This window comes from Homo sapiens, chromosome 2 (genome assembly GCF_000001405.40).
Source record: "Homo sapiens chromosome 2, GRCh38.p14 Primary Assembly".
Lineage (NCBI taxonomy): Eukaryota > Metazoa > Chordata > Mammalia > Primates > Hominidae > Homo > Homo sapiens.
The window spans coordinates 7,078,277-7,092,190 of record NC_000002.12 but is presented as its reverse complement, the minus strand read 5'-3'; positions in this window follow the sequence as shown (position 1 = coordinate 7,092,190).

The window sequence follows — 13,914 nt, the reverse complement described above, 5'->3', positions numbered from 1 at the left end:
GTCAGGACAAAAAGATTTACAATATTTATTAATATACCTGCTGCTTCCTTTGAAAGTAAGCATCTCTAAGCTGAGTATTAATTATAAGGGAAGAGTCTTTCTATTTGGAAGAAAGATCCCAGAAGAGGATCATCTTTCTCACTGGACTGGCCACCATCCCTGTGGACAGAACTCAGGGGTAAGGACAGGAAGAGGGCAGTAGAGTGGGAAGATGGTGGGGAAGCCTCCTGCATCCTCCTCCAGGGTATCCACATGGGTAGGGTGGGGACGAGGATAGCACCTATGGCCTGAGACTGCCCTGAGCATGGACCTGGCAAATAAGCATTTGATAAACACACATCATTGTCATCATTATTTTGTGTTATCACAGAACCAGAAAGGACAAAAGTAACTGGGAAGGGCTGGTGAAGGTTCTCGGGGAGCCCAGGCTGGAGGTGACCTGTGGCCAGCTCCAGGCAGGTGGGGACCCTCCGAAGCAGGTCAGCCCTGAGTAAAACCCCAGCATTTGTCCCCGCAGTACATCGGCCAGCAGTGTGAAGTAATGCTGTCTTTTCTCTTGGGTGGCATCTGCAAAAACTCCCCCCTCTTTGTTAAGGACTGTCCTGAATGCTCCTACTCTCTCCTCGGAAGTTTCCAGCCTCAAAAAGCCATAGAGTCGGGCCTGGAAGCATCTTCCAGCCCTGCTCACGGAAGGTCCACCTTCCTCCTCCTCCAGGGCCTTTGACCCTGCCTGCCTCGCAGACTGGGCCAGGCCAGGCTGACATGGAGTCTGTCCTTGTGAAGCCTGCACCGCACCTTGCCTGGAGCAAAGTCAGCAGACTCCTGTGTGGGACTCAGAGGACTGGGGCCTCATTTATGGTAGGACCACAGGCTATTTAACCCTTCTGAGCCTGCATCTTCTCATTTATAAAATGAGAATAGTGGCCATTGCTACATGACAGAGCAGTTGGGAGCACTAAATAAAATACAGGCTCCCGACACCCAGCCTGGCCTCTGACCCAGGTATGCACTTCCCTCCTTCCTCTTTCACCCTCGGCCCCCAAGAGACCAGCCCAGAGGAGCAGATGCCTGGTCCAAGGGAATGGGGGTCTTCCCTGCATCATCCCCAGGCAGAGCTCAGGGTCCAGCCCAGAGGGAGGCCAAGAGGAAGGAAGCCCCAAGCTCCTTTGTGTCCGCCCCAAGCTCCTTTGTGTCCGCCCCACCTGCCCTTGGGGAAGTGCCCTGCAGACCCTCAGAGACAGAGAGGGCTCCTGCCTCTTTCCAGCATCATCCTAAAACACCCTGCAATATTTCTCTTACCAGGTCAGGGAAAGGGCCACAAGTCTGCGGGCTCGCTTTTCGTCTCTTCATGGTAGCAGTAAAACCAAGAGCACACTTTGACTCTCCAATACCTTGAGTTACACAAGCCCAGGGATGGACAGGAGTGAAATCCCCCCTTATTTGGCGCACCCCTGCCCTCTCATTTCTCCCTCACTTTCATCACCCAGGGGCCTCGGCATACTCCAATGCTCCAGGTGACATTTGCATTCAGATCTTTAGAAAGTTGTAAGTGCCAAGTCTCCTGACTTTCTCGCCAGCATCACTTAGAAGTTGCCGTGCTCTTTCTCTCTCTAGATTAGAAAGTTTTTTGAGGACAACTTTTTAAAAGTCTGGTAGAGGTTTTTAAAAAAATGAGGGATTTACAATTGGATTCAGAAACTGGAAAAACGTCCTGGCTCAAAGGATCCCATTGACCCCCTGGGGGGCAGGAGACAACATTGATCCTCCACCTTCCAGGCAGAACTGTGGGCGACGCAGCCTGGTTCCAGGGGCCTTCGCCTCTGGCCCAGGATCCAGCCTCCAAAGTCCAGGGGCCGTGAGCCCTGCCCTGCTCCGGAGCCCTGCCCCAGGCCTTTCCTCAGAAGCCGCCCAGCCTGCGGGGACTGCGGGGACTGCGGGGCCCTCATCAAGACAGCAGCCCAGCGGCCCCTCTGCATCCTGGGGCTGCAGGGGGCAGGAGCCAGCCCCACGTCAGGAGGTTGCTGAGCCCAAAGGAGAGACACCAGGTCCTCCTCCACGCCCGGAGGGCCCACGAGCAACTAGAAATCCTGGGTAGAGGGCGGCAGGGCTCGGACTCCAGGAGCCAGAGACAGCTGGGGGCGGGGCTCCCTGCAGGGGCACAGGTGTGCCTGGGTTGCCGGCACGGGGCACAGGCCAGCGACGGCCCCTGTCAGAGAGCGGAGGGCTCCAATGCAGCCAGCGCACACTCAGCTGTCAGAAGTCAGCGATCCGGTTAACTTTAACCCATTGCACTTCCTAGTGGTAGCTAAATATACTGAATATCATCTTTACAAAGATTTCGTGTGCACACTGATCTCTTTTTCTACCTTTATGTTCATAGTGAAAAGCGCCTGCAACTGGGCTAACACCGCGCGCACACACACACATGCACACATGCACACACGCGCGCACACACACATGCACACACCTCACTACCACAATCTAAAAACAGAAGCAACTGGCCAGAAACCTCCCGGTTCCTTCCACCTGAGTATGGGCTCCACCGCAGGCCCTTCTCACAGATGTGAGGCTGTTTCTCCAAGGAGGCAGCTCGTAACGCGGCTCCTGCCACAGCTCTCTGGAGGGTGCGTGCCAGCAATCCCTGGCCCTGCCAGAGGCCCTCACCTCCTGCCTCTGTTCCTCCATAGCAGGAAAGCAAGGAGGGCCGCAGATGGGCAGCTCTGACCGGCACCTCGGCTCCAGCGGGAGCCGCTGTGGGGAGCAGAGGCTTGAGCTGGATGCTCCCCGACTCTGTTCCTCCTGCTGTCAATTTCATCCCTGGAGAGGGCGCCTCGGGGTTTCGGCTACAGGAAAAAGACAGGAGCAAGTAGAACTGGGCGTTTGGATATTTCTGAGCCTATCTTGAGGGCAAGAACCCTGGGTGTGCCCGATTAAAAACTAATGCTAATCTACATCAATAGAAGGTTAATACTTTGAAACATTACTTGGGCAGCTTTTTACCCCAAACTTTAAAATGGGGCACCTACGTATACCAGATCCCGGTAAAACAAGCAATTTCCAAGTCTGTGCCAGTGGGAAGTGCCACATGTTCTGCCTGCAAAGGATATTCCAAAGCCAATTGATCCATGAGAGGGTCTGATGAATCACACAGAAAGAAAAACGCATAACTTCATTAACCCATCATTTTCCAAATATATCTGACCATAAGTTTTCTCCTATGTCCCCGTCTCATTTTATCTGGTGGAAGCCAAGGGCAATCTCTGCAGAATGCCTAGTATCCCATCATCAGATACTGCTGCCCCCGGAACTCAGTTTAAGACAGTTGGTTCCCAGGAAAAGGCCACACTGCCCCATGCTAGGACCAAGGCGGTCATCCTCCAGCTCCTTCCTCCATCACACTGCCCCTCGTTCCTCTAAAAAGTGCATTAGGCTTCAGTCAAACTAACCAACTTGAAGTGTTCATGAATATTTTTAAACTTCTAAGTCTGCTAATATCTTTCTAACTGGCTTGTCCTCTTCAAATGCCACACGCCTGAATCGTATCCACGCTTCCTAGGCTTAGTTCCTACCTCCTTTCAGTGTAACCCACCCAAACCTCCAGCCGTGGTACTCACTGCTTCCTTCTCTGTTACAGGCTCTCCTTGGGAGCCCGTAGCATCCTTGCTAGGCTCTGTCCTCCTTCCAAGAAACATGTGTGGCCTATTCGGAGAATCCCTGTAAGATACTATATAAGATGACTATCTGAAAGACACATAGTCATTAGATTACCTAGGATCAAATCAAAAGAAAAACATCTTAAAGGCAGCTAAAGGGAAGGGGCAGGTCACTTACAAAGGGAACCTTATCAGGTTAACAGCAGAACTTTTGGCAGAAACCTTGCAAACCAGAAGAGACTGGGGGCCAATTTTTAGCATCTTTAAAGAAAATAAATTTCAACCGAGAATTTCATATCTTGCAAAACTAAGTTTTATAAGAAAAGTGAAAATAAAATAATTTTCAAACAAGCAAATACTAAGGGAATTCATTACCACTAAACCTGCCTTACAAGAGGTCCTAAAAGTAGTTCTAAACATGGAAATGAAAGAATGATACCTGCCACCACAAAAACACACTTAAGTACATATCCTATTGACACTATAAAGCAACTATACAACTAATTGTACACAACAACCAGCTAACAACACAATTACAAGATCAATTCCTCACTTATCAATATTGACCTTGAATGTAAATAAATGGGCTAAACATCCCACTTAAAAGGCACAGAGTGGCAAGTTGAACCAAGAAGCAAGACTCAATTGTCTACTGTCTTCAAGAGACCCATTACATGAGTAACAACACCCATAGGCTCAAATTAAAGGGATGGAGAAATATCTATCAGGCAAATGCAAAACAATGATCGGGGGTGCTCTTCTCATATCAGACAAAACAGATTTTTAAACCAACACTGATCAAATAGGGCAAAGAAGGACATTATATAATGTTGTTCAATTCAACATGAAGACCTACCTATCCTAAATATATGCACACCAAACATTGGAGCACCCAGATTCATAAAACGAAGTATTAGAAATCTATAAAGAGATTTAGATAACCACATAATAGTAGTGGGAAACTTTAACACCCCACCGATGGTGTTAGACAGTTCATTGAGGCAGAAATCTAGCAAAGACGTTCTCATCTTAAACTCAACATTTGACCAATCAGACCTAGTAGACATCTAGAGAATGCTCCACCAAAGTATAATAGAATATGCATTCTTCTCATCTGCACATGGCATATACTTTAAGATTAACCACATATGGAGCCATAAAGCAAGTCATGACAAATTCAGAAAAATTAATATCATACCAACCACACTCTCAGACAGACCATAGTACAAGATAAATAGAAATCAATACAAAGGTGATCTCTCAAAGCCAAACAATTACATGGAAGTTACACAACCTACTCTAGAATGGCTTTTGGATAAAGAATAAAATTAAGACCGAAACAAAAAATTATTTGAAACTAATGAAAACAAAGACACAACATATCAGATTCTTTGGGAAATAGATAAAGCAGTGTCAAGAGGAAAGTTTATTGCACTAAATGCCTATATCTAAAAAAATGCCTATATCTAAAAGTTAGAAAGATCTCTAACAACCTAACATTACACCTAGAGGAAATATAAAAACAAGAGCAAACCAACCCCAAGTCTAGCAGCAAAAAATAAATAACCGAAATCAGAGCTAATCTGAAATAAATTGAGATGCAAACATTAACACAAAAGATCCATGAAACCAAAGTTTGTTTTTTGAATGAATAAACAAGAGTAACAGACCACTAGCTAGATTAACAAAGAAAAAATTGATAAAATCAAAATAAATGCAATCAGAAATTACAAAAGTGACATTAGAACCAACCCCACAGAAATACAAAAAACCTTCAGAGACTTTTATGAACACTTCTATGCACACAAACTAGAAAAACTAGAAGAAATGGATAAATTCCTGGAAACACACAGCTTACTAGGATTGAACCAGGAAGAAACTGAAATCCTGATACCAATAACAGGTTTCAAAATTGAATTAGTAATAAAAAGGCTACCAACTAAAAGAAAGCCCAGGACTACAAGCATTCACAGCCAAATTTTAACAGATATACAAAGAAAAGTTAGTACCAATTCTACTGAAATTATTCCAAAAACACTGAGGAGAAGGGACTTCTCCTTAACTTATTCTACAAAGCCAGTATCATTCTGACACAAAAACCTAGCAGAGATACAACAATAACAAAAAAAAAATCTTCAGGCCAATATCCCTGATGAATATAGACACAAAAATCCTCAACAAAATACTAGCAATCTGAAGCTAGCAGCACATCTAAAAGTTAATTCATAACAATGAAGTAGGCTTCATTACTGGGATTCAAGATTGGTTCAACATATGCAAATCAATAAATATGATTCAACACATAAACAGAATTTTTTTAAAAAATCATAATCTTAAGAGAGGTAGAAAAGGCTTTCAATAAAATTCAACATCCTTTCATAATAAAAAAAAACTGTCAAAAAATTAGACATTGAGGGAACATACCTTAAAATAATAAGAGCCATATATGACAAACCCACAGGCAACTTCTACTGAATTAGCAAAAGCTGGAAGCATTCCCCTGGAGAACTGGAACAAGACTAGGATTCCCACTCTCACCATTCCTATTCAACTAGTACTGGATGTCCTAGCCAGAACAATCAGGCAAGAGGAAGGAATAAAAGGCATCCAAATAGGAAGAGAGGAGGCAAAATTATCATTCTTCACAAATGATGGTTCTATACCTAGAAAACCCCACAGGCTCTGGCAAAAGGCTCCTAAAACTGATAAAACACTTCAGTAAATTTTCAGGATACAAAATCAATGCAGAAAAATTAATAATATTTCTATACACTAATAATATCCGAGCTAAGAGCCAAATCAAGAATGCAACCCCATTTACAATAGCCAAAGAATAGCCAAGAATGAAACACCTAGGAATACAGCTAATCAAGATAGCTGTAATGAGAATTAAAATACACTGCTGAAAGAAATCAGAAAGGTAGCTACAATGAGAATTAAAATACACTGCTAAAAGAAATCAGAGATGACACAAATAAATGGAAAAATATTTCATGTTAATGGATATGAAGAATTAATATTAATATGGCCATACTGCCCAAAGCAAGTTACAGATTCAATGTTACCAAATTACCAATGTCATTTTTCATAGAATTAGAAAAAAACTATCCTAAAATTCCTATGCAACAACAACAAAAAAGCCCAAGTTGCCAAAACAATCCTAAGCAAAAAGAGAAAAGCCAGAGGCACCTCACTACCTGACTTAAGACTATACTACAAGGCTATGGTAACCAAAAGAGTATGATGCTGGTTAAAAAAAAAAAAAAAGGAAAAACAAACAGACACATAGACCAACAAAACAGGATAGAGAACCTAGAAATAAAGCTGCATACCTGCAACCACTTGATCTTCGACAAAGTCGACAATAACAAGCAATGGGGAAAAGACTTCCAATTCAGTAAATGGTGTTAGGATAACTGGCTAGTAGTTATTGCAGAAGATTGAAACTGGATCCCTATCTTTCACCATATACAAAAGTCAACTCAAGATTAAATAAGTATTTAAATAGAAGACCTAAAATTATAAAAATGCTAGAAGAGAAACTAGGAAATACCATTATTGGCATTGACCTTGGAAAGTCTGATAACTGTGTGTCTTAGGGATGGTTGTCTTGTATCTTGCAGGGGTTCTCTGCATTTCTTGAGTTTGCATGTTGATCTCTCCACCAAGACTGGGGAATTTTTCATGGCCTATAGCCTCAAATATGTTTTTCAAGTTGCTTACTATCTTTTCTTCTCTCTCAGAAATGCCAGTGAGTCATAGGTTTGGTCTCTTTAAATAATCCCATATTTCTCAGAAGTTCTGTTTATTTTTTTTAATTTTTTTTTTATTTTTGTCTGGGTTGACTTGAAAGACTGGACTTTGAGCTCTGAAATTCTTTCTTCAGTTTGCTCTATTATGTTGTTAAGACTTCCAATTTTATTTTGAAATTTCTGTAGTGATTTTTTCAATTCCAGAAGTTCAGCTTGGTTCTTTCTTAAAATGGCTATGTCATCTTTCAACTCTTGGATTACTTTACTGGGGTCCTTGGATTGGTTTTAACTTTCTCTTGAATCTCATTGAGCTTCCTTGTCATCCAGATTCTAAATTCTATGTCTGTCATTTTGGACATCTAAGTCTGGTTAGGATCCATTGCTGGGGAGCTAGTTCGATCCTTTGGAAGTAAGGAGACACTCTGACTTACTGAATTGCAAGGGTTCCTGCACTGGTTCCTCCTCAACTGAGAGGGCTGGTGTTTCTTTATCCTTTTGAAGTTGCTGTCATTTGGAAGGGTGTGTTGTTTTTATAGACAGTGCTGTATATTACGTATAGTCACTTGGTTTCATTTCTGGGTGCTTTCAGAGGACCAAGGCTCTGTATGGGTTCCTTAGTTGAGGCTAGTTTCCTGCATTGGTTTTCACCAGCAATGCGTGCTGGAGGAATTTATTTTTGTTTCGTGGTGTAATTCAGGCTGCGACACACTAGATGGCACTAGGCTCTTAGCACCTGTTTTGTATTTCAGTGCTTTCACAGCAGTGCTCTGAGGAGCGGGAAATGGAGGAGGTGGTGAGAGATGAACTCCCCTTACCAAGTTCATTCACAAGCCTTGGAGGAGGCCCCTCTAATCACTGGCACTGCACCCACATTTCCTTAGCCCCAGCGCAGGCCCTTGCGGGTTGCACTGTCCACTCCCTTAGGTGTTGCCCAAGCCAATAGTTAGGTGACCAGGAGACCCACAACTCCCAGGGACCTGCTGGTCCTCTGTGCTCGGTGGAGTCAGAGTGGGTTGTGGGGAATGTCTATGGGTGCAGGCACCAACTTTTTCTTTTTCATAGTCCCCTTTGAACAATGACATCTACCTTTTATGAATAAAGTTTTATTGGAACGCAGACCCTCCTATTTGTTTATATATTGTCCATGACTCTTCCCTCTACAGAAGAGCTGCATATTTGCAACAGAAACTATATGGTCTGTAAAGCCTAAAATATTTACTGTCTAGCCCTTTACAGAAAAAGTCTGCCCAACTCTATTCTAGAGCATCATACCTTCCTTAACAACTCTCAGCAGATTTATATTAGTCAGCTCAGGATACCATAACAAAATACTGCAAACTGGGTTTCTTAAACAGCATGAATTTATTTTCTCACAGTTCTGACGGCTGAAAGTCCAAGATCAGGGTGCCAACAGCATGGACATCTGGTAAGGCACCTTTTCACTGTGTCCTCTTATGGCCATGACTCTGTGGATGTGCATGGAGAGACACCTCCTTGGTGTCTCCTCCTCTTCTTTCAGAGACATCGACCTATCCGATTAGGACCCCACCCTATGACCTCACTTCACCTTACTTACCTCTTTAGGTTAATATCTCCAAATACAATCACATTGAAAAATGCAACTTCATCATATGAATTGGGCAGGAGGGGTGGACACAATTCTGTCTGTAACTAGAGTTTGCCACTTTGATATTTATTGTACCAATTTGCACAACAAATTTGAGAGTAGCCTTATTTCAGAAGATTGACAGATCTTTGAAGACTATAACTAAATATCTCATCCACTTCAAATAAATACACATATGTGAATAAAATATAATTTCGGCATATAAAATTTAAGTTTTTAGTTGTCACTTTAAAGCCACAGCATAAACAAGTCTGAAGCCAAGATTCCCTCATGCCCTCATTCTATCAATCTCCATTACACTAAGTAGTAACTGTTCTCATTTCTATCACCATAGACTAATTTTATCTGTTCTATAACTTTATGTGAATCAAGCTTGTCCAACCAGTGGCCCGTAGGCCTCATGTGGCCCAGGATGGCTTTAAATGTGGCCCAACACAAATTCACAAACTTTCTTAAAACATGATGAGATTTTTAAATGATTTTTTTAGCTCATCAGCTATTGTTAGTGTTAGAGTATTTTATGTGTGGCCCAAGACAATTCTTCTTCCAATCCGGCCCAAGGAAGCCAAAAGACTGGACACCCCGATCTAAATGAAATCATGCAATACATACACTCTATTGCCTAGCTTTTTACAAACAAAAATACTTTTGAAATTTATCCATCTTGTTGTATATAGCAATGATTCATCCTTTTTTTGGAAAATATATTTCAATTTTTATATTGAATTTTTGTAATCATTGTCATTTTGACAAATATTTGGATTGTCAAAAAACTCTGAGACAGCTCTTGGCTGTTGGGAATAAAATTATTATGAATAGTCTTATTCAGTCTTTTTGTAAAAATATGTTTGTATGCATCTTGAGTAAATACCTAGGAGTGAAAATCTTAGGTCCTAAGATAGGTTTATGTGTAACTTTATGAGAAAACGGAACAACTTTCCAAGTAGGCTGTGTCATTTTACATTCCTAATACCAAGGTATGTAAGTTCAAGTTATTCCATATCCTCAGAAACATTATTCCATATCCTCAAAAACAGCCTGAGAAACAACCTCAGAAACAGCACTAAAGTGACATTTAGTGCTGTCAGGGTTTTTAAGGTTAATCTTTCTAGTGAACGTTTAATAATATTCCATTGTGGTTTTAATTTGCATTTTCTGGATGATTCATAACACAAACATATTTTCTTATATTTATTGGCTAATCATATATTTCCTTTCGTGATGTGGCTATAGAAAGAAGTCTTGTATCCACTTTTTAAATTGGGTTCGTTTCATTTCATTATTGACTCCCAGGAGTTCTTTATATATTTCAGATCAAAGCCTTTTGTCAGATACTATATGGCGAATGTTTTTTCCCACTCTATGGCTTGCTTTTTAATTTTCTTAATGGCATCCTGTCTTGGGTTTTAGGTTTCGTTATGACAAATCCAATTTATCAATCTTGTTCTCTTATGGCTGTTTTTGTGTCTTCTCAAAAATGAGTCCCTATTTACCTCAAGGTTACAAATATATTCTTCTATGTTTTCTTCTAGTAGCTTTTAAGTTAAATCTATGCTCTATCACGAACTAACTCTATTAGGATGTGAAGTAGTATCTAGGTTCAGATTTTCCCGTGTACTTACCCAGTTACAGATCTATTTGTTGAGAACACTTTTCTGGGCTCTTTTGTTGAAAGCTTATTTATCCTACATATATGGGCCTACTTCGGGCCTCTGTATTCTGCTCTTTTGATCTATTTGTGCAAGGATTGAATTTTTTTTCTATAAAGGGCCAATGTGAGTAATCATGTTAGGTCTTGCAGTCCATAATGATCTGTGATTCAAATATTTAACTATGTTCTTATAGTGGGAAAGCAGTCATAGAAAACAGATAAACAAATGAGCATGGCTGTGTTCCAGTAAAACTTTCTTCGTGGACACAAATTTAACTTTCACATAATTTTTGAGTGCCATAAAATACGATTATTATTTTGGTTTTGTCAAACTTTTAAAAATATAAAACATATTCTTATCTCTGTAGAATATCAGGCAGTATGATACCAAGTAACGGCTTTATTTTGCCCACAGCAGTATTTTGCCAATCCTTGTTTTCAACATCCTTATTCCAAAACCATAATGTCTTCATTACTTTAGTTGTATAGGTGATCTTGAAACCAGTAGCGCAAGTCCTTCAACTTTGCTTTTTTCAAGATGGTTTTAGCTAGTCTATTACTTTTAATAGCAAAAACTGCAATTACTTTTGCATCAACCTAATAGATTATTTGCATTTTCATATAAACTTCAGAATCAACTTCTCAATGTCTACAAAAATGTCTGATGGGACTTTGGGAGTTCATTTAATCTACAGGACAATTTGGAGAGAAGTGATGTCGTAACACCATTGAGTCCTTCAATTCATGAACACTGCATTTGTCCTATTTATTTACTTAGCAATGGATTGAGATTTTCAAAGTAAAAATCTTACCCATATTTAGTTAAATATATTCCTAAGTATCTTGCATTTTTGATGAAATTAAAATGGACTCTTTAAAACTAATTTTTCAAATATTTGTTGCTAGTCCTCAATAAATTTTTTATATATTGACTTGTATTCTACACATAGTTAAATTCATTTAGTACTTAATAGTTTTGTGTGGATCTATTAGAATTTTCGAATTTTCTATATAAGTAAACATGTCATCCACAAAAATGCCAGATTTACATTCACCTATCCAAGTCTTCATGTCTTTTATTTCTCTTTTCTGCCAATTATCCTAATTTGGATTTCCAGTACTATGGAGGATAGAAATAGAAAGAGTGGATAATCTTGTCTTGTTCTCAATGTTACAGAAAAAGCAGTCAGTAGCTCATTGTTATTTTTTATAGACATCCCTTAACAAACTGCCATGGTTTTCTTCTATTCATGGTTTAGTGAAAGTTCTTACACAAAACGAAGTTAACTTTTGTCAAAGATTTTCTTCAATACCTACTGAGATGATTATATGGTTTTTATTTTTTATTCTGTTACTATGGTGAATTATATTTCTTGTATATTTCTGGATTTGAATTACTAAATTTAATAAAATTTTTTGCATCTGTATTTATACAATATTACTTTATTGTAATTTTCCAAGTTTGGGTATCAGGGTTATGGTAGTCATAAAATAAAGTGAGTAGTTGTCACTTCATTTACTTTGAGTGACTTTGTTAGATTTTTTAAAAAACATTCTTTAAATATTTGATGAAGTTTACCAGTGAAACCATCTGGGCCTAGAGATTTTGTTTTGTTTTGTTTGTTATGGAAGATTTGAAGTATAAATTCAGTTTCTTTAGGAAATATGGAGCTCTTAGAGTTTTCTATTCTTTGTCATGTATGATTACTTGTGTTTTTCAAGGAATTTTGCTATTTAATCTAGGTTATCAAATGCACTCATAATTCTTCTCACTTTTTAATGTCTAGGATATTTGTAGGAACATTACAAAATCTGTGTCATTCTTGATATTGGAAAGGCCAAATCTTTTTAATATTTCAAATATGTAAAGATCCCTCTGCTTTGTAGAGATAAACTGGAATGGCATTCAAGGCTTTCTGCTCATCCTGGTGCCCATCACATGCTACCTCCTTTAAAGTCACGTTCCCTGAACCACATCTATTCAGGAAGGGATGGATGGTGCTTCTTTGACTTTCCACAGCTTCTAAGAGATCTGACAGTTCCTACCATGTTATATTAGTAGTAGTAGTTCATACCTTTCTTTTATATTGAATGAAAACTTTCTTGCTAACTGTAACTTCAGAACCTGCTCTGGCTATAAAGCCTTAATTAGTAAGAAAGGGAGGCAGGTAGGCAGACAGGCAGGCAGGCAGGAAGTCAAAGGTGTTCGAGGGTAACTGTAATAGTTCACATTGCCCTCTATATAAGACAAACTTGCAGGGCTTTTTCAGCTTAAAAGCAATGCTGGGAAAAACACAGTAGTTCCAGAACAATGCTCAATTAAGGGTGGTTTTCATAGTGATAGGAATGGATTGTTAATAAAACATTTAAATTTTTTTGCTTAATATTTTATAACATCGGAATCACACGTATGATCAAGCCATCGGGATGTGCAAGCATTTTGGGGCAAGGAACTTTGTTTTCTTTGCCTACATTTAGGTGGATATGAGGAGAATGGACCTGCTTCCATGAATGGAATGCCTTTGTGACTTGCAAAGGCCTCCTTAGTCCCACGGGTTGACAACCATGTTTAAGCAGTGGGGTGGTAGCCCTTCCACCTGTGTTGGTAATAGTGGAATTATCTTACCTGTCATCATCTGAATTTATTCTTAGAGGTGAGACAGAAAAGAATCCACCCTGGTAGACAGTTCAACATCATACAGAGCCCCAGGGACCAGAGTTAATTTATCCTAGGCTGCTTACCAAAAACATAGAGCAGGGGAAAGTCCTAGAACCAGTGTCATCACTATTCTGGAGATAAGAGTTCAAGACAAAAAAGGAGAGATTTGTTGTAAAGTATAAGAAGAGCATGAACAGAGATCTAGACATGAAAGTAAAAATTAAGTAAAGAGCCCACTGATAACACTCTAGATCCCCCAAAGAAATCAGGGAATGTTATGGTGAGATTCTTTCAGCACCCAGGGAGGGGAGGAGAGTAGGGAAGAGGCAAATACAGAGATACACTCCATATTCTCCACCTACTCTCAGCCCTGGCCTGAGTTGGCTTCTTCCCTCCTGCAGGTATCAAGTCCTGAGACTTCAGATTTTGGAGTGAGACAAATCCAGCCACCTCTTCCTAACAATGTCATCTTGTGCAATTTTTCTTACAGTTTCTGACACGGTTTCTCATCTCTCATTTTCAAGATGAAGCCCACTGCTCAGAGTTGAAGAAAGGATCTGAAATATCAAAGA